The sequence below is a fragment of the Homo sapiens genome, chromosome 12 (assembly GCF_000001405.40).
Source record: "Homo sapiens chromosome 12, GRCh38.p14 Primary Assembly".
Classification (NCBI taxonomy): Eukaryota; Metazoa; Chordata; class Mammalia; order Primates; family Hominidae; genus Homo; species Homo sapiens.
The window spans coordinates 62,367,972-62,387,115 of NC_000012.12; the positions used below are offsets into that span (position 1 = coordinate 62,367,972).

General features: G+C 32.8%; 1 protein-coding gene across 13 annotated transcripts in view; it reads left to right on the top strand.

The window, feature by feature from the left end:
* Positions 1 to 19,144, top strand: part of USP15 (ubiquitin specific peptidase 15) — a 155,986-nt gene that overhangs the window by 107,568 nt on the left and 29,274 nt on the right. For 8 of the 13 annotated variants that reach the window (NR_147078.2, NR_147079.2, NR_147081.2 and 5 more), the window contains 3 exons: positions 13,519 to 13,692; positions 15,869 to 16,027; positions 16,107 to 16,331. Coding sequence is in view for 8 of the 13 variants with exons in the window: in NM_001351159.2 (NP_001338088.1) it covers positions 13,519 to 13,692; positions 15,869 to 16,027; positions 16,107 to 16,331 (558 nt within the window). In the remaining 5 variants the exon portion in view is untranslated. Of the gene's footprint in view, positions 1 to 6,418; positions 6,565 to 13,163; positions 13,249 to 13,518; positions 13,693 to 15,868; positions 16,028 to 16,106; positions 16,332 to 19,144 lie in introns of all 13 variants that reach the window. The other 5 variants (NR_147082.2, NM_001351165.2, NM_001351166.2 and 2 more) reach the window with 2 other exon arrangements.

Sequence of the window (19,144 nt, forward strand, 5' to 3'; positions counted from 1 at the left end):
TGCTTTGAATGTGTCCCAGAGATTCTGGTACGTTGTATCTTTGTTCTCATTGGTTTCAAAGAACATCTTTATTTCTGCCTTCATTTCATTATTTACCCAGTAGTCATTCAGGAGCAGGTTGTTCAGTTTCCATGTAGTTGTGCAGTTTTGAGTGAGTTTCTTAATCCTGAGTTCTAATTTGATTTTACTGTGGTCTGAGAGACTGTTTGTTATGATTTCCGTTCTTTTGCATTTGCTGAGGAGTATTTTACTTCTTATTATTTGGTCAATTTTAGAATAAGTACAGTGAGGTGCCAAGAAGAATGTATGTTTTGTTGATTTGGGGTGGAGAGTTCTGTAAATGTCTATTAGGTCTGCTTCGTCCAGAGCTGAGTTCAAGTCCCGAATATCCTTGTTAATTTTCTCTCTCATTGATCTGTCTAATATTAACAGTGGGGTGTTAAAATCTTCCACTATTACTGTGTGAGAGTCTAAGTCTCTTTGTAGGTCTCTAAGAACTTGCTTTATGAATCTGGGTGCTCCTGTGTTGGGTGCATATATATTTAGGATAGTTAGTTCTTCTTGATGCATTGATCCTTTACCAGTATGTAATGCCCTTCTTTGTCTCTTTTGATCCTTGTTGGTTTAAAGTATGTTTTATCAAAGATTACGCAACCCCTGCTTTTTTTTCTTGCTTTCCATTTGGTTGGTAAATATTCTTCCATCCTTTTATTTTGAGCCTATGTGTGTCTTTGCACATGAGATGGGTCTCCTGAATACAGCACATTCATGGGTCTTGACTCTTTATCCAGTTTGCCTGTGTCTTTTAATTGAGGCATTTAGCCCATTTACATTTAAGGTGAATATTTGTTATGTGTGAATTTGTTCCTGTCATTACGATAGTAACTGGTTATTTTGCCCATTGGTTGATGCTGTTTTTTCATAGTGTCAATGGTCTTTACAATTTGGTATGTTTTTGCAGTGGCTGGTACTGGTTGTTCTTTCCGTGTTTTTAGTAGCTAATTTATTTAGCTGACTCAACAAGCATTCATTGAGTCTCTACTATGTGCCATGCATTATTCTAGACATTGGCATACCCAGTTTTAAAAGACAGTACTTGTCCTCTAGAAGTTCATGTTTAGTGAATGAGGTAGACATATAAATAAGATATAATATGTTATATAATAGAAAACATGATCAGCAAAATGTCATGGAAGCAAAGTTCTTTCTTTGAGTCTATGGGACATAAGTGAGGCTGTATCAGGAGGGTGAAATTTGAGTCACATTTTTATTTCATTTATTAGAGCACATTACTGTCCATTATAACTTATATGTTCATTTGGTCATAAAATAGAGAATTACCAGGGATGCAAATTAAAACATTATAGCTTATGCTAGTTTCTACATTTTTTTCACCTCAGAAATTCCCGTATCAGAAATCCGTTTTGCCACAGCAAAAACACATTGTTCACACACTCAATAAAAACATATTGGAATCCTTTATATGCCAACTGGTTTTTTTTTTTCCTGCTACCTGATTTTTTTATTTTTTCATGTGCCAGCTGTCGATGCTTTTTCACACATGTGCCAGCTCTAAAAAGAGGAGTACCTAAAATATCTTGAGCAATATATAATGCTTATTCTTAATGCCTCAATTATATACCGGATTTGGTGTATACCACATAATGCTGCTTCTGTTATTTACTATATTTGATACGTAATTGAGGCATTATGAATAATTTCTAGGGCTTTTCTAAGTGCAGTTTTCTATACTTTGCCAGGAGAAGACTTCTAATAAGTATTTTTAAAATGAAACAAATTTGTGACAAAAATGTTACTTTTTTAAATAAGGAAATCCTTAATATTAATAGTAGAATGAAACATACATTTAGCTTCCTTTTATACTTACAGTAGTATCATTGTATAATAACATACCAAAAATATATGTGTCATCATGATGATACCTGGAACCCCTCTTACCATCCCTGAGACCTGTTCCCTTGTTTACTCTTTGTTTTATTCTTCTTTTTTGTTTGGTTTTTTGAGACGGAGTCTCGCTGTATCACCAGGCTGGAGTGCAGTAGCGCAATCTCAGCTTACTGCAACCTCTGCCTCCCGGGTTCAAGCGATTCTCCTGCTTTAGCCTCCCGAGTAGCTGGGACCACAAGCGTGCACCACCACTCCCGGCTAATATTTGTATTTTTAGTAGAGACAGGGTGATCTGCCCGTCTCGGCCTCCCAAAGTGCTGGGATTACAGGCATGAGCCACCACGCCTGGCCTTGTTTTATACTTTTAACCTCACCTCTTCACTGTCTTTCTTCCTTTCAGCGTATATACATAGTCAAGTCTTTTTTCATCTGGGAAGTAGAGTGAGGGAGACCCATGACCTTGAACAGGATGATCTGTGCTTTCCCCCTACTTTCCCATCTCCCATTCAATAGTCCTTATCTCACCATAGCCTGTCAGCTGCTTAGCATGGTAGGTCAAAGCATGGATTTTGGAACTAGACTGCCTGTATTCAAATCCTAATTCTGCCACTTACAAGTTGTGTGACCTTGGATAAGAAACTTCGTAGTTTCTTCATCTGTGAAATGAAGATAAAGTGCTTAGGAAGTGCTTGGCACATGTAAACATATAAAAATATCAAATACTGTTATCATTACTGTTGTCATGATACCACCCTATAGAAATTGCTTTTGATTAGCTCACTCTTGACCTCCTGTTTGCTAGGTTCCTTGTACCCCCTTTACCTTTGAGAATTTGACATCCATCTATATACTAATATCCAAAATTTCCCTCATCCGTAATTCTCTCTTCTGAATTTCCCTCCAATATGTAACTGTTAAATGGACATTCCTGCCAAGTTAAACTACATGTAACTTAAACTCAAGATGCCTACTTACACTAATCTTGATTATTTTATTTCCTACACTTTCTTATAGGTACAACCCAGTAACCCAAGTCAAAAACCGAAGACTTATCCCAAGTCCTGTTCATTCTACTTCTTATATAGCACATATTTTTCCCTTTCCTCTCCTGTTACATTATTTCAATGCTTAAGCATCTTTTTTGTGAACTATCAAAATATATCTGTGTCATCTCTTTGTTCCATCATTTGTCCTCTTCAAATCCATTGAATACAGTGCTTCCAAATTTATTGTTTTATAAGGCAAATATGATTATTATGTGTTTAAAACCTGTGCCCCATCACCTAAAGGATAAAATTCAAACTGGATTCTGTCTACCTGTTTAGCCAAAACTACTTTCAATTCTTAGAATTTATTATGTTTCAAAACTCTTTGTATATACTGTTACCGCTTCCCTACTTGCGTTTTTCATACTTTCTCTCTTTCTTCTATCCATTTCTCATGGACAAATACGTATTATGTGGTGAGAATTGTGAAAGCAGAGGCTATCTTTGGTTTTCTTTTATATCCCCAGTGTTAGTATAGTACCAGATAATCGTAAGCACAGTAGAACAGTGTTTTTTACAATGTGTCTATGGACAAGATAATTCTGGTCAACAATAAAATAAGCACAGAAATTGTAAGTGATCAAAAGTCTCTATAGCAATTTGATAGGGTAATTTTATATCAAGTTTAATAATAAAAAGCAAGACTTGTTTTTTATATGAGTGTTTTTAATTTTATTTTTCTAGCGGTTCATTTTTATTATATCTTACACAAGTACCAATCTGTGGTGGAATTTTTAAAAAATTAGTCCTTTCCATGTAATTATTGCACTTTCACACCCACAATAAAGCTTCTACCTGAAGTGCCTTCTAGGTCATTGAGAAACATGGAAAATTATCTTCCATATAGATTTAGAGGAAAGTGTATTTTGCTGTGGAGCTAATCATTTGAAAACTGGGAATAGCATCAGGAGGTAAAAATAGCTCGAGCGGAAATATTTGGGTTTGTATATTAGCTCTGCAACTTCTTCTGTGTGTGTGAGTAAGCAGGTTACTTATCTATTCCAAGACTTAGTTTCTTCAGCTCTAAAACAGGAGATAACGCTTACTAAATTTACTTTTCAGAGCTGTTGCAAGAATTAGTGAAATGTACATCAAGATGTATTTTAATAAAAATAATGTGTTCGGTATTTTAAAAAAAATTAGTTCTTTCACACACCTGGTTTGCAAAACACTGCATTAGAAAAAATTATTTACCAGAGATATTTGAAACTTGACCTGAGCTATCTAAATTCCCAAAGATTGCACAGTAATTTTAGTAAGAATTATAGCACATAATATATATATTTATTTCTTGCAACTGGAGGGTCAGAGAGCTACCTATATATGTATAATAACTCTTGGACCATATACGGTCCTGCAAATGCAGTCGATCTGATAGCACTTGAATTGAGCTGGCATGTTAGTCACAGCTGGGCAGATCATATCAGTACCACCATGGAAATAGTTCCTTGAAAGATTTCAGTGAATGATAGGAAAAAAATTCTTTTAGAACATTATTTGTATACTTACAGAGACTCTTGAAGTAATGATCTCTTAATATTTGTTGAACAATTAAAGTTTTTTTATTACAAAAATGGCTTGTTTCTCTTAAAGAATGTAACAAATCAATAAACTTTAAAAAAAAATTCTGCTGTCCTTTCCTGTATGCCTTTGCAGAAGAACTAAGATCAGTAAACTCACACAATTCTTAATATTTATTTATTCAAAATTGTTTCTTTACTGAATATTATGTGCAAGGGACTGAACACATACAAAATTATAAAGAACCATTTTTTCATAAATCCTTTGACTGTCTTGCTTGCCTAAAAAGTTAATTCTTTTAAATTTCATTGTGAGTCAGTTTTGAATTATTAATGGGATAGGAAATAACGTAATTTAACATTAAAATTGAATTCCATTCAATTCTTCTATTTAAGCTTCCATTCTTTAAAATAAATATAACTTACACCAACATTTCTTAATGTTATTAGAACCTTCTGGTTTTAGCATACTTCCCATAAAGTGAATATATGAAAAAGTTTTAAAATTCACGAATAGCCTGTTACTAAAAATAAAATAATGAAGTCAGACAACTGCTGACATAATCTAGTATTAATAGTTTCAAAACCTTATTTAAAAACAACTTGTCCTAGTCTTCTAGCCTTTTTGCTGGTGAAATAATTATCACAGAGACTTCCACTTTTATCTGTGTCATAAGTGAATCCTCTATCCATATTTTTTTTGGCTTTCAATATGAAAATTAATGGTCTTCACATAATCATGGCTTTTTTAACATTGACATCTGTAGTTACAGAATTTACTCACTGCAAGTAATAGGGTAGTCTTTTTGACAAACTTAGAGTTTTCCTTCCTTGGTCCTGTGTAGATGAGGGCAAAAAAGGATTGACATTTCTTTGCTAGCCAACAAAATGTTTCCCATCAGTGTCAGTATTTATACTTCCTAGAACTTTGATAATTCTTCATTGAATTCAAATAGTATGTGAAGAAGAAATACCATAGAATTTCAAAGAAGGGACAACAGTGGGGACTTTAAATGAAGTTTAATTTTATTCATGTCTTAAGCACAGGGACCAGATTAATGATATATATTCAAGTGTTAGGACAACATCCTTGTCCAGTTCAAAAACCTTGCCTTTAAAACTACCTTTATTTAACATTTTAATATTTTAAGTAGAGTATGCTAGTTCTCTCTTCACTGACGGGGGAAAAAAAGCAGTTAAAAGTCTTAAAAATATAAGAGGAAAATTATATCCATTTCTATTTTACTTGCCTAAGTTTGTTCTTTTTTTAAAGTTGAAGAAAAATGGAGATATAAAGTAAAACAGAGCTGTAGCTGTATTGCTGTCACAAAATATGTGATCTTCAGAATTGATCTCTCAAATTTAATGAGATTTCCCTTTCTTAGAAAAAATATAACAAAAATAAGAACATCAAGTGACTTAAAATATATCATTTTAAAAATCTGCTTGATGAAGAAACAGGCCTATATTTGTAGTTTTTAATTGAAAAAGTTTACCTCAAACTTTGCTGTGTTATCCACTTGTGTAGCATTACAGAACTAGAGCCAATATCCCAATATTAGTAGATTGCTTTGGAATCATACAGTACCTTTTCAGAATGCTTATACTATTGTCATGATTAATTAGAAAACAATTGACATGGCGAATATGAAAATTCTTTTCCATCTAACCTTAAAATCCAGAAAAAAACTGTTTAAAGGTATTCCAAGATGACTTTAACCATGGATTACTTCAAGTTTTATTTTTTAAATCATAACAAACTAAGAATGAATCCCTTATTTTATTTAGAATGGGCTTTTATTTTTAGTACTGGTCAGTTAGAAGGTATAGCCATTTTTTTAAGGGTTGTGAGTGGTATTACCTTTTGATTAGTTATAGAATGAGTTACACAACTCAAAAGCTTTAGGTAATCAAAAATTAAGTTTGTTTTCTTTCCTGTTCTAGTTACCGGTTTACTAAAATAGTGAGCATACATGATCACTTGAGAATTGGGCTTCTGGAGCACCTGAACAGAAAGGGAGTGGTTCATATTCAGCATTACAAAAGACAACTTTCTCTTTTTGAAGGGGATTACTTTGGCTATTTTCCAGGTACTGGGGAAATTCCAAATGCATTACAAGTTATTGGGATGGCTATTAATTATTCATTTCCTAAAATATGTTGACTGAAGACTTGAGATTTGGTTATATAATAGAACATTATTTGACTTCATCAATTTATAAAAAACTTATGTAGAAATTTAGCAAAATACAAAATTGAGACTCTTACATGCAGCAGTTATATTTTTTCAGATAACTCTAGAAACATCAGGCTTATTAGTCAGAACATACTTAGTAGAAGTACTTTCTGAAAATAATGGAAGAGCAATAGAATTTGTGCATGTGTATATAAAGAAAAGTTATGTGCAATGCATTGCATCTTTCCAAGTAATTACATAACAAAAGAAAATCATATTTTGCATAATATTTCAGTTTTAGGATATTAGGTTAAGGAAGGGTATTTATAACTAGAGAGTTTTTAATAGAGAATTAGTACTTTAATAAAGAATGCATAAACCATTCAAATATTTTTATAAATAATTCTTCAAGGTGTAATTAATGGCCTGAATATATTGAACCATATCACAGAGTGTCCATTGGATGAGACATTTGATTATTTAGAATAATTCTTCTTTAGAATTTTTATGTCTGCTTCGAGGTTGAAGATTTAGGGGAAATGATCTTCATAAAAATATATTTCCAAACATATTTCCTTTGCATACCTTTTCCTTACGGATTTATCTTGATAGTTGTTGGGGAAATCATAAGGGTTATTTTCCTTCATTAGGAAAACCTCTTTAGGCATCATTTGGACTTTTATTTTTGAACATGGAGAACTTTGGGCTGCATTTGAATTATAACAGAGTGCAATTCAGATCTCATTTTAGTCAAGTTTTTTCTCACTGCTCTAAGTCTCTCTAAGGACTACTTCTAATCTTTCTACTATACAAGTTCCCATTCATTCCACATACCTGTTTGAGTGTGCCCGATATTGTGATAGACCCTGAGGTACAAGGGTGAATAAGACATAGACTCTGCTCTCAAGTGCGGTGTAACGGAGTTCGAGGTATCAAGTTAGCCCAGAGAAAGGAATATTCGTTCTTCCTTGATACACAGAGGAAGATACGACATTTAGAAGAGATGTTGAAATAAGTGTTTAAGAATAAATAGGAATTTCTTATAGGGGATGAATATTCTAAGAAAGGCAAGAGTGCATGCAGTCTCAATACATTAAACTAAGGAATATGTCTTAAGACGCCTAATTCAAATTCGAGTACTCTTATTACTTGCAGTTTCCCATATAAAATATATATGAAGGCACAAGTAGAGAACCACAAAGCCAGTTCAAAACCACAAAACCACTTAGCAGTCATTTCTCACTAAATAATTGTCTTGCACATACAATAGCCATTGTTACCTTTCCTTGTGGATCAGCTTTTCATAATAGCTCATGTCCTAAACTTTCCAACAGTCATTATATCATAGTGAATTCCAAAAGTCTACCATATATTAAATATGAAATTTAGTTTTTTAATCATTACTCATGGATCAACTTTTCATAATAGCTCATGTCCTAAACTTTCCAACCAGTCATTATATCATGGTTAGTGAGCTCCAAAAGTCTACCATATACTAAATATGAAATTTAGTTTTTTAATCCTTAAATTTTCAAATGCTGTTGTCAGTTTTGTGTGCTAATAACTTACATAGGAGCATTTGAAAATATTTAAATATAAAAATAACCTAGTTAATAAGTACATTTACTTGTTAATATAAATTTTTTTCTTTTTCTCTTTTTCATTAAAAATTGGAACTATTAGTACAAAGTCTTTTTCTTTAGTCTGGCTATTGCTTTATTTTTAACATATTTAAATTCTACCCAATTTTAGGACCAACAGTAGGTACCATTATGATATAAACAAAAATGTGGCTTAAGAAATATGTTTTATGATCAGTCACATAGCCTCATATTTGGACCTTGTTATATTAGTGATAAATTTTAAGATCTAGTTCTCCTGAAACACTGAAGTTTTGGCATTTGTTAATGTCAGGCAGTTGAACTCCAATAAATTAACAGGGGCATAGCTCCAAATGGCATGAGACTGGTAGACATGTCACAAAACTTATAAGTAGCCACAAAAATAACATACTAACTAATACTGTTTATATAATCTCTTTCATTTGTCATGATACATTCATATATATTCTCAGTTTTTATTAAGAACAACCATGGCTGTTGCAGAAAGTTTTGTCCTGTTTAACAGTCCAGGAAGCATTGAGAGTAAGAGATATTCACGTAGGCACAACACATATCCGATTTTTAGTCCATATTATAATGCATCACTCAGTAAAGTGTCTTACAGGATAAAAGGGAAGTTTTCTACTGCTACCTACACATGGAAGATTTTTAAAACATATATGTCTTTAAGAAAAGAATTGTTTTGGGATAGTCTCATCTGATAGGAAAATGATTTTTTTATAGTAGAAGAATCTTCGAGATAGATACTTCAGAACTGATTATTATTTTAATTACCTTATAAAAATTATACATTTTTAATTTTATGTATTTTTAATTTTTATGGGTACATAGTAGGTGTATACATTTAGGGGGTACATGAGGTATTTTGATAAAGGAATTCAATGTATAATAATCACATCAGGGTAAATTAGGTATCCATCACTTCAAGCATTTATCCCTCCTTCATGTTTCAAATAATCCAATTATGCTCTTTTAGTTATTTTTAAATGTACAATAAATTATTGTTGACTGAAAATTATCTTTGTTCATTAAAACATGGTATTTAATTGCAGCCAGTCCAAGTAACTAGTGTTCTTATAATTGTCAAAAATGTTCATGTTCTAAGATAGCCTCATGTGAAAATGTTAAATAATGAATTGCATAAAGTAATTACTAATCAAACTACATTATGACCAACTTTAAGAAACTGGCTTCAGCCAGGTGCGGTGGCTCACGCCTGTAATCCTAGCACTTTGAGAGGCCAAGGTGGGCAGATCACTTGAGGTCAGGAGTTCAAGACCAGCCTGGCCAACATGGTGAAACCCCGTCTCCACTAAAAATACAAAAATTAGCCAGGCATGGTGGCACGTGCCTGTAATCCCAGCTACTTGGGAGGCTGAGGCAGGAGAATTTCTTGAACCTGGGAGGCAGAGATTGCAGTGAGCTGAGATCACGCCATTGTGCTCTGCACTCCAGCCTGGACAACAAAGTGAGATTCCATCTCCAAAAAAAAAAAGAAACCGGCTTCTTTTTTCTGCCAGAATGATGACATTGAATACTGATATAACATCACGTGGGGCGTGGCAATATTTTTAATTGCTTGATTTTTTTTTCCATTTATGCCTTGAAATTTAGCAAAAATTATGAGAACTTTTAATATTTTAACCGGTCTTTATGCTATTTTAAGAACATACTAACTCAAGGTCTGGTGCAGTGGCTCATGACTGTAATCCCAGCACTTTGGGAAGCCAAGGCGGGCAGATCACCTGAGGTCAGGAGTTTGAGACCAGCCTGGCCAACATGGCGAAACCCCAACTCTACAAAAAATACAAAAATTAGCCAGGTGCGGTGGTGGGCGCCTATAATCCCAGCTACTGGGGAGGCTCAGGCAGGAGAATCGCTTGAACTCGGGAGGTGGAGGTTGCAGTGAGCCAAGATTGTGCCACTGCACTCCAGCCTGGGTGACAGAGTGAGACTCCATCTCAGAACAAAAAATAAAATGAACATATTGACTCCTAATGGTATTTTCAAGATGAGGGTGGAAAGGATGGTATTTTTATGAGGGAGAAATATCGGACATCATCTTAGTTTTTAAACTAATATGATTTGTGTATTAGTAGAACAATTATATTGACTATTGAATTTATGTATTTATATGTGTTTATACAACTTGTTAGGAAGTGTAGCTTGTTAGAATATATGTTTAACAAATAGAATGTTTATTTGGGCCCATTTAGGACTAAATAGCTTAAATTTAAATATTGGTTATGATATCTTCACAGATAACACAGGCAAATTATCATTAAAATGATTTGTGTTTTGTTGTTATTTGTTAACATTGAATTATAATCAGTTTGAAACCAGCATGTATCACTGTGAAAATAAATGCTGGTCTCTGTTTCAAGGAGTTTTTAAAAATCAAAGCAGAGGATCATTTACAAAGCAGATAGTAGATTGAATGAAAAATCAGACAAAGGGGCAGAAAAATTTGTACTGCCCGTATGGTTTAGTATTAGGTAGAAGTACTTGAAGATATTTTTGAGATTATTCTTTAGAAATATATTTTTCCTCCATTTAGTAAGTAGTATTTCATTCAACAAAAATTTATTGAACCCTCTATGCCAAACATTGAAGGAAAAGAGTAAAAATCAAGAGGATAAATGCATTAGTAAATACAGGCAAAAATATTTTTAGTAAGCATACATTTATTGTGAACATGATCAGTGCTACGTGACATAGTGCTCAGTGCTGGAAATATAAATAAGAATACCCTGGTACCTGCTTTCATGGAGGTCTCAGTTCATTTGGCAAAACAAACTAAAAATTAAAGTTACAGTATATTATCAAATAAGTGCTGTAATAAAAGTAAGCAGTAAGCATTAAGGAAACATACAGGAGAAAACACTGTAAGGAAATCTAAGGGAGGCTTCCCAGATAGGATGCCAGAATCTTGATGGATTTATAGAAGTTAGTAAGGCCAAAAAAAAAAAAAAAGTACATTTCCAAGTAGATGAAGTAATGTTGCAGACTTTCAGATTGAGAGAGTATGTGGAGGAATGACTAATTAAATAAAGCTGGAACAGTTGAAAAGAAAAGGGTATTGACAAAGGATGAGGCTACATAGATGAGCAAAAGACAGACCCTTCTAAGAATTTGGGCTTCCAATCTGTAAGCAGGGAGAGCCGTTAAAGGATTTATAGCAAGGAAGCAACATGATGAGATGTACATTTTAGGGAGAGCACTCTGGATACTACTGGAAAGCTAAAAAATGTTCAGTTATACCTTTAAGCTCTTTCCAAGATAAGAGTATATGTGAATAATTAAGTTATAACAAAGTTTAAGAATTACTCAGGTTTGTGCAACTTGGTTCTTTTGAGATATTTGTAAATTAGGTTCTTTATATAATTGCATTAACAGACAATAATGGAATGTTACATTCTTAGCATAACCCTGAGCTGATCAAATATAAGAAGCGGAAAACTATTGATAATTGTTGGAAATTCCTATCTGACCTGTCCTTTGTCTGACTATTTAATGTTGATCTTATTTTGTACTAAATCAGATGATACTAAGTGATGGCATTTACCCTCTGTGTAGCTATGATGCATTCTAAATTGCCTGGATCTCCCTTTAGTGCTGGGTTTATAATTAAAAGGACATATAATACAAAGGAAGAAGAGAAACTGAAACTCAAAAGGAGTATAAGATTATGAGAGAGGTTGAGATCTAAGAGGTAAAAAGTTAGGGAAGCATCCTTTCTCTTAATTGCCTCCTACACTGTAGCATACCTCTCTTTCTCCTGCTCACATATATTAAAAAGTTCTACTGCTGAAAATATGTATATGACTCTAAAGGCCTATATAGCTCACTCCAAACATTTTAGCTGTTTTTATTATTTTCGTTGCCTAAGAATTATATAATCGTAAATTCCATGATATTATAACCAGTTGTCCCTTTTGCCTTGAGGTAGGGGCCAGGCTAGCAATTTATAATAAATAATATTATTTTTATTATATAGAAAGTTTCTAAATAGATATTATTGACTACTTCAGTAAACATGTTGATTTATAATTGAAACCACAAAATTGAGTACCAGAATTATTCTAAAAAACTAAGTAAATGTTGACTCTGCTTATTTTGGAATTTTAGCTAAACAATGCATAGTATATAGTCGTAGTTTATGGCATGTAAGTTATCTGTGTGAATTCAACAGGCTGAACCTTTCATAGCTACCAAACCTGTCTAACTTAATACAAATGACTATAAGCAAGCTTCGAAAAACTCTGATTTCCATTAATGTGAATCCAGGCTCTCATAAGAGTGAGTTTCTACTATTTTCCATGCAAGCAACTAGCTTCCTTGCAGCACTTTGCCACTTAATTCCAACACAAATATCATCCTACAGCAAAAAAAATTTACTTATGTGACCATATGTCTGTGTTAGTCGTTGCATATTATAGACATCTAATTGATAATGTAATACTGGGTTTGTATTGAGGTCAAATTATATGGATCATCACCTTAAAATTATTCCAACTTGAGATAAAATGTTGAAAAATTGTACGTCTGCCATGTTTTATTTTAAATATGAAATTTTTTAATTCGGAATTGGAAAGAGTTGGAAAATTAACTTATTTATAGTTTTTATTTTGCCATAAAGGAAAATTGTATCGTTTATGAAATTAAAGAGCTGGAAGTGAGAACACACTTACCAGAGTTCACATACTAAAGTTTGTTCTCTCAGGCTCAAGTAATCTGTACTGTCTCTTCTAAAAATGGTTGACCATATGGAAGGTTTAAAGGCTGCTCTTTCATGATAAATAATTGACAATGGAAGCAGTAAATACCTCTATTAAGTTAATTTCTTGCTTGCACTCTATCTCAGTTTTTACCTACTCAGGCTAATTTGCAGGTGCCTGGGATGAGTAGACAATCCATAATTTCTACCAATCAAGTAAAAGAAGGAAAGAAAACTGAGCTTCTCTCCCAGTTACCAGGTAGTTTGCTGTGGTTAAAATTAATGCAGATTTTACAGCAGCGGATATTAGCATTTTTATTTATTATAAGTAATTATTTTGAAATTTGGGAAATGAATAGTTGAGTACATCATTTGAGTGTTTATTTGACCAGTTATTAGTGCAAGAAACCATCATTTAAATGTTCTCTGTGTTATAGCAAATCAATTTGTTTCTCTCTTCATATTAATGTGTTTTAAGAAAAATTCATTATGATTACTTTTACTTGAAAATATATTTTATTTTTTGCAGTGTTTGAGCAACACACCTCCACTTACTGAGTATTTCCTCAATGATAAGTATCAAGAAGAACTGAATTTTGACAATCCCTTAGGAATGAGAGGTGAAATAGCTAAATCTTATGCCGAACTGATCAAGCAAATGTGGTCTGGAAAGTTTAGCTACGTCACCCCAAGAGCCTTTAAGGTTAGTGTGGTAAATGCATTTTAGCAAGGGTACCTGCAAGGGTACAAAAGTTGGTTCTTGGGGATAGGGGGAGTGAAAAATAGTAGCTATTACAATGGTTTGTGGCCCTCCAAAGGAACACAGTACATAAATAGATATACAGTACATCTGTGATATAAAATTTAGGTGGGAGGGATATGGAACAGTTTATCTGTTTTGTTTTTGTTTTTGTTTTTGTTTTACATCTAAATCTGGAATGGAGAGAATAATGAAAAAAAGTTGAAAAACACTGGTGTGGTACAAGAATGAGTATAGAGACAGCAATGAGCGTTTGTATAGTTGTTTTGGAATATAGTACATCTCTGGAAAACCTATGTGAATATTCTATACAAATGTAAAAGACTAAATTTGGGCATGTTACTGAACTCTAAGAACCCATTTTACTTTGAGAGTCATTATGAATTTGAAAAATTATCAAAATGAAAATAGTCTGCAAACCAAGCATTAAAAATTAAATGTACTTTCAATATAGTTCTTAAACTTTTAAGGTTATTCACATGTGTGAATTGTTACTTATCAAATAATTTATTGTTCAAATAAGAATTGAGCTGAAATTTAGCTTTATGGCTGAAATTTAGCTTTATATTGTTAAAAAAATGCCTACTTAATTATATAGGTGAAACTTTGAGAAGTTTTAAACTTGTAGAGAGAATAAGCAGTTTTAAGTCGTTATTTATACAAGTAATTTAAATGGCATTGATAGAGGACATCTACTGGACAACATTTTTTATTAGCTATATACTAGTTCTTAGAAAATAAAAAACCAGCAAATCAAAATGCCTCTGTATTGTCTTCCTTAACATTCTAAACTTTGGACAAACTAGTCCAGACAAACCATCTCTCAGCTCTTACTAGCATTCTAATTGGTTTTATTTTGGTAGATTTTCTCTCTTAAAATTATGTGTAAATAGGTTCTTTATGTGTGACTTTTTTTCTGTCAGATGATGATTCATACTATTACATTTATTTTCAGTCTCATCCAAAAACAAAAATACTTAGTGATGAAAGATTAGGAAAATTGAATATGAACATTAATGTTTCTGTTATCTCTGTGATACTCATCCTCCTTTTGCGCATAGAAACTAAGTGAGAGCCTAGAGTAGTTATCTTAAAAATGCTTTCAGATACGTAATTATCTTTATGTGGTAATATAGCAAGGATGAGAACCTGCCTCTTCCTGTCTACCTACCAGACATTTATAGGAGGAGGCAATAGGAATACCTAAAGCTAAGAATTAAGGACATCTGGAAAATCCTTTGACAAATAGTGAAACAACAATTAATGACAATGAAATCTATGACCAAACAAAGATCAATACATTTTTATATATTAAAGATTACATGTGTTGATCTATTTTGTCCCAGATAAGCTTTGTTGAGTGCTTACTAGGAATGCAAAACAAAATATAATTCATATATATTCCTGTTGTTCGTGTATACAATTTTTATTATTCACAGGAGTTATGTTCAATGAAGCTGCCACAAACACTGAAATAACAACTACTGAACCATTACTCCTAGGGAAACTATAGGGTTTGATTCCTCCAAGCCTTTGTTCACAACATTTTCGTCAACCAGACAATGTATAACTTTGTTTTGCATGTGTTTCTGTTTAAAAACAACTTGTTTAATATATATTGTTGAGTCCTTAACATTGAACTCACAGCAAACAGTGCTATAACTCATGTCTTAATGAAGCATATCTAACACATACTTTTTCTCCATAAAGCACATCACAGCTTTCTTGCATTTAGGAACACTAGCTGGCATGTTTGTACTTCATTTAGTGACCATTTTAAACACTGAAATTAACAACAAAACAAACAAAAATGTGAAAAAACATAACACTAAATAAACTACAAAGGACACTTGTTTATAGATTCAGAGCTGAAACAACAAGCCAAAGCATCACCTTGTTCAACCCCAGCTGGTAACATGCATATCAGGTGACTCAAATTTTTTGCCACTCTGAAAATATCTACAAATGACCATGAATTGATTTTGGGGTTACAAATACATTTTAGAAAGCAGGCAAATTCACAAATGTGGAATCCATGAATAATGAGAATCTATTGTACATATGTTTAAAAATCAACCCTGTTCCTAGAACTGATTTGATGGTTTTGCATTTCTTACAGACACAGGTAGGACGTTTTGCACCTCAGTTCTCTGGATATCAGCAGCAAGACTGTCAAGAACTGTTAGCTTTCCTATTAGATGGATTACATGAGGATTTGAATAGAATTAGGAAAAAACCATATATACAATTAAAAGATGCAGATGGAAGGCCAGATAAGGTAAATTTCATGATCCTATTGTCACCATTGTTATAATTTTGTGATACCTCTTTCTAATTTGTGTCTATTATCCTTGTAGGTGGTTGCCGAAGAAGCCTGGGAAAACCATTTAAAACGAAATGATTCTATCATAGTAGATATATTTCATGGCCTTTTCAAATCAACTTTAGTTTGTCCTGAGTGTGCTAAGATTTCAGTAACATTTGATCCTTTTTGTTACTTGACACTTCCATTGCCCATGAAAAAAGAACGCACCTTGGAAGTTTACTTAGTTAGAATGGATCCACTTACCAAACCTATGCAGGTAAATCATGGGTTGGTTTGTTTTGTTTTTTTTTTTTTTTTTTTGCATTTGTTATTTTTATTAAAAAATTAGTGTTGAGTCCTTATTATAAAAATTAAGTATTGAATTATCAAGCCCAATCAATAATGTTTATTTGTATAAGAGATTTTATAAGCTGAATACTTTGGAAATCAGTGTAACTTTTTACAGTCTTGAAAGAGCAACGTGTGTCTTATAAAAAATTCTCAAAAGGCTTTTTATAGAGGTTTATTTTTATAATATTGGGGTGAATATTAGCTTATGAAGATCAACATAATATTTTTAATTTTTTTAAACTTCAACTTTCTTTAGTGTTAATTGTAATTTTTTTTTACTAGTGGCTATTGGAAGTAAAGCTAATACTTTTAATTCATAGTGTGATAGTAGTGTATTTAAATACCTGTAATTTTTAGGCATTTTAGGAACTTAAAAGAAAGTAGAAATTCAGTTAGACTAAAAATATTTTGTTCAGTGATGTTCTCTAATTTCTAATACTTTGAAGTATCACATATTGTTTATTCTGTGCAAAAGTCCTGTGGTAAGTCTTACTGTCAAATTGTCTGCCTGATTCCGTTACCTAGTGTTATAATTGGATTATTTATATTTTGTGGGTAAAGCACTATCTTTTCTCCCTTATTTATTAATCAGTTAATCCTCTTCTGACACTTGACCCATCCCAGTGAAAGTAACTTCTTCTTTTTCTACCTCTCTTTCCCTAAATTCTAACACTTAACTAATTTTGTTATAACTTTTGGCTTACTTTTATCTTTTATCCCTAGACTACAAGTCTTTGAAGACAGAGACCTTGTAAACCTTTGTATTTCCAGCTTTTGTGGCTGGTAAATATTAATGCACAAGAAGTATTCAAAAATTTTATTCATCAAGATACTTAACTATGCACCTACTAAGTATAAAGCTCTTTGGCTAAACAAAAAAGATATGATTCCTGCTTTAGAAGATTGTTTTCTGTAAATTTTTAGCCAAATAGCTCAGTTTGTTAGTGCATAATAGTCACGATGTCTATATGAAAGCTATATTTGAACAAAATTATGATCTTACCATTCAGGGATGTATTTGGGTTTATTGTCAACAAAGACAGGGTATATGTAGTGTTCATAAACACACAGTCCTTTTATTCAAAGTAATTAAAGTCTAGTAGATACTAGGTATGTACTCAGTTATGCAAATTTAAGCAATTTGTTTTTCTGCTGCTTTATGTTTTCTTTATGAACTCATTGAACACAATGCCCTCATATCAGTATTTCACTGGAGAGTGCTAAGTACTATCCCTTATCTGTGAGCAGAGCCAATAAAGACCTGCTTTTACTTTTGGCCTGGGGAATATGTGTTCACATTTTTAAAGTTATATCCTTTAGATATTCACTTATTCACTCGTTTATAAGTACAAGATTGTCAACATTCTTTTCAATGGTGAGAAACTATAACAGTGCCAAACCACATCCTTACCTCTCTAGTTTATAACTTTGCAGATATACACCAATGAGTGTAATGGAGCAAGAGAGCGTAGAATAATAAGTATAAATTTACTGCAACAAAAAATAAATGTAGATGTTTTATTTCTCTACAGCACATTTGTTAGAGATAATATTCTCCCATGCCAATAATATAAGGTAATCTATATCAATAGTGGCAAATTGCATTAATTTACACATTAGTCCATAAGGTATATGATAAGTGCTCTTCCATAAATTGGGCTCTAAATTATTTTTCCAGCAATGTGAATTTCATTGACTTATCACTTTTCTCATTTGGTGACCAATAATATAAATTTGCGGAGGTTAGAGCCATGGTTAGCACAGAGAAATTCGTTTGTTTTTGTGTTTTGTGTTTTTTTTTTTTCCTTTTTTCCATTTAGAGGCAGTAACAACTCAAATACAAAATGATCACCTCATTTCATTAACACTATGCTTTGACCAGCTTGTAAGAAAAGTGAAATTAGCTGAGTTTCCCTATTTGTTGAGTTTTCCCGTCATTGAAGTTGATTTAGGTCATGGAAGCTTATTAGGAAAAATATTGAATATATATTATATCTTAGGCTCTTATGCTGTGCAAGGTGCTAGAAATATAATGGTGTTTCTAGTCCTTGTTCTTCAAGAAGCTTGTCATACAGTGTGAAAATTGCTCTGACAGGGTGCTGCAAGAGAACACAGAGTAACCTACCCAAACTGGTTATGAGGCCTGTGATAAATTCTGAAGGACAATTAGGTTATAAGCAGGTGAAAACTAGAAATAAAAGCATTATAGGCCAAGATAATGGCATGTACAAAGAACTTATGGGAGAAGAGGACATGGCCCACTTCTGTAATCTACAGTAGTTAATATGGCAAGCAGGAGCTAGATCACGAAGAACTTTGATGCCAGTATAGGAAGTTTGAACTTCATCCTAAAAACTAGGGAAGCCATTAAAGACTATTAAGTATAGATATTATATGGCCACAATTATGTTTCAGAAAGATGATTCTGGGTAGCACAGAGATCAGTTAGAAAAGGCTTAGTACTAAGACCAGGTAAGAAGCTTTTAATGATCAGACGACAGACAAATGACAAACACTTCAACTCTGTCAGGATGGCAGTTTGAAGAACCAGTTGAATGTAGGAAGTGAAAATGTGTAAGTATATTCAAAGATGATGCCAAGTTTACTTGACAGGAAAAGAGGAGACAGCAGTGCTGTTTTAGTGGAATATATAGGAAGAACAAGTTGAAGAAGGAATCCATTTTAGTATTGAACGTGGTGGCCTAACATGACCCAAACCTGTGTTTAGTATTGGATATG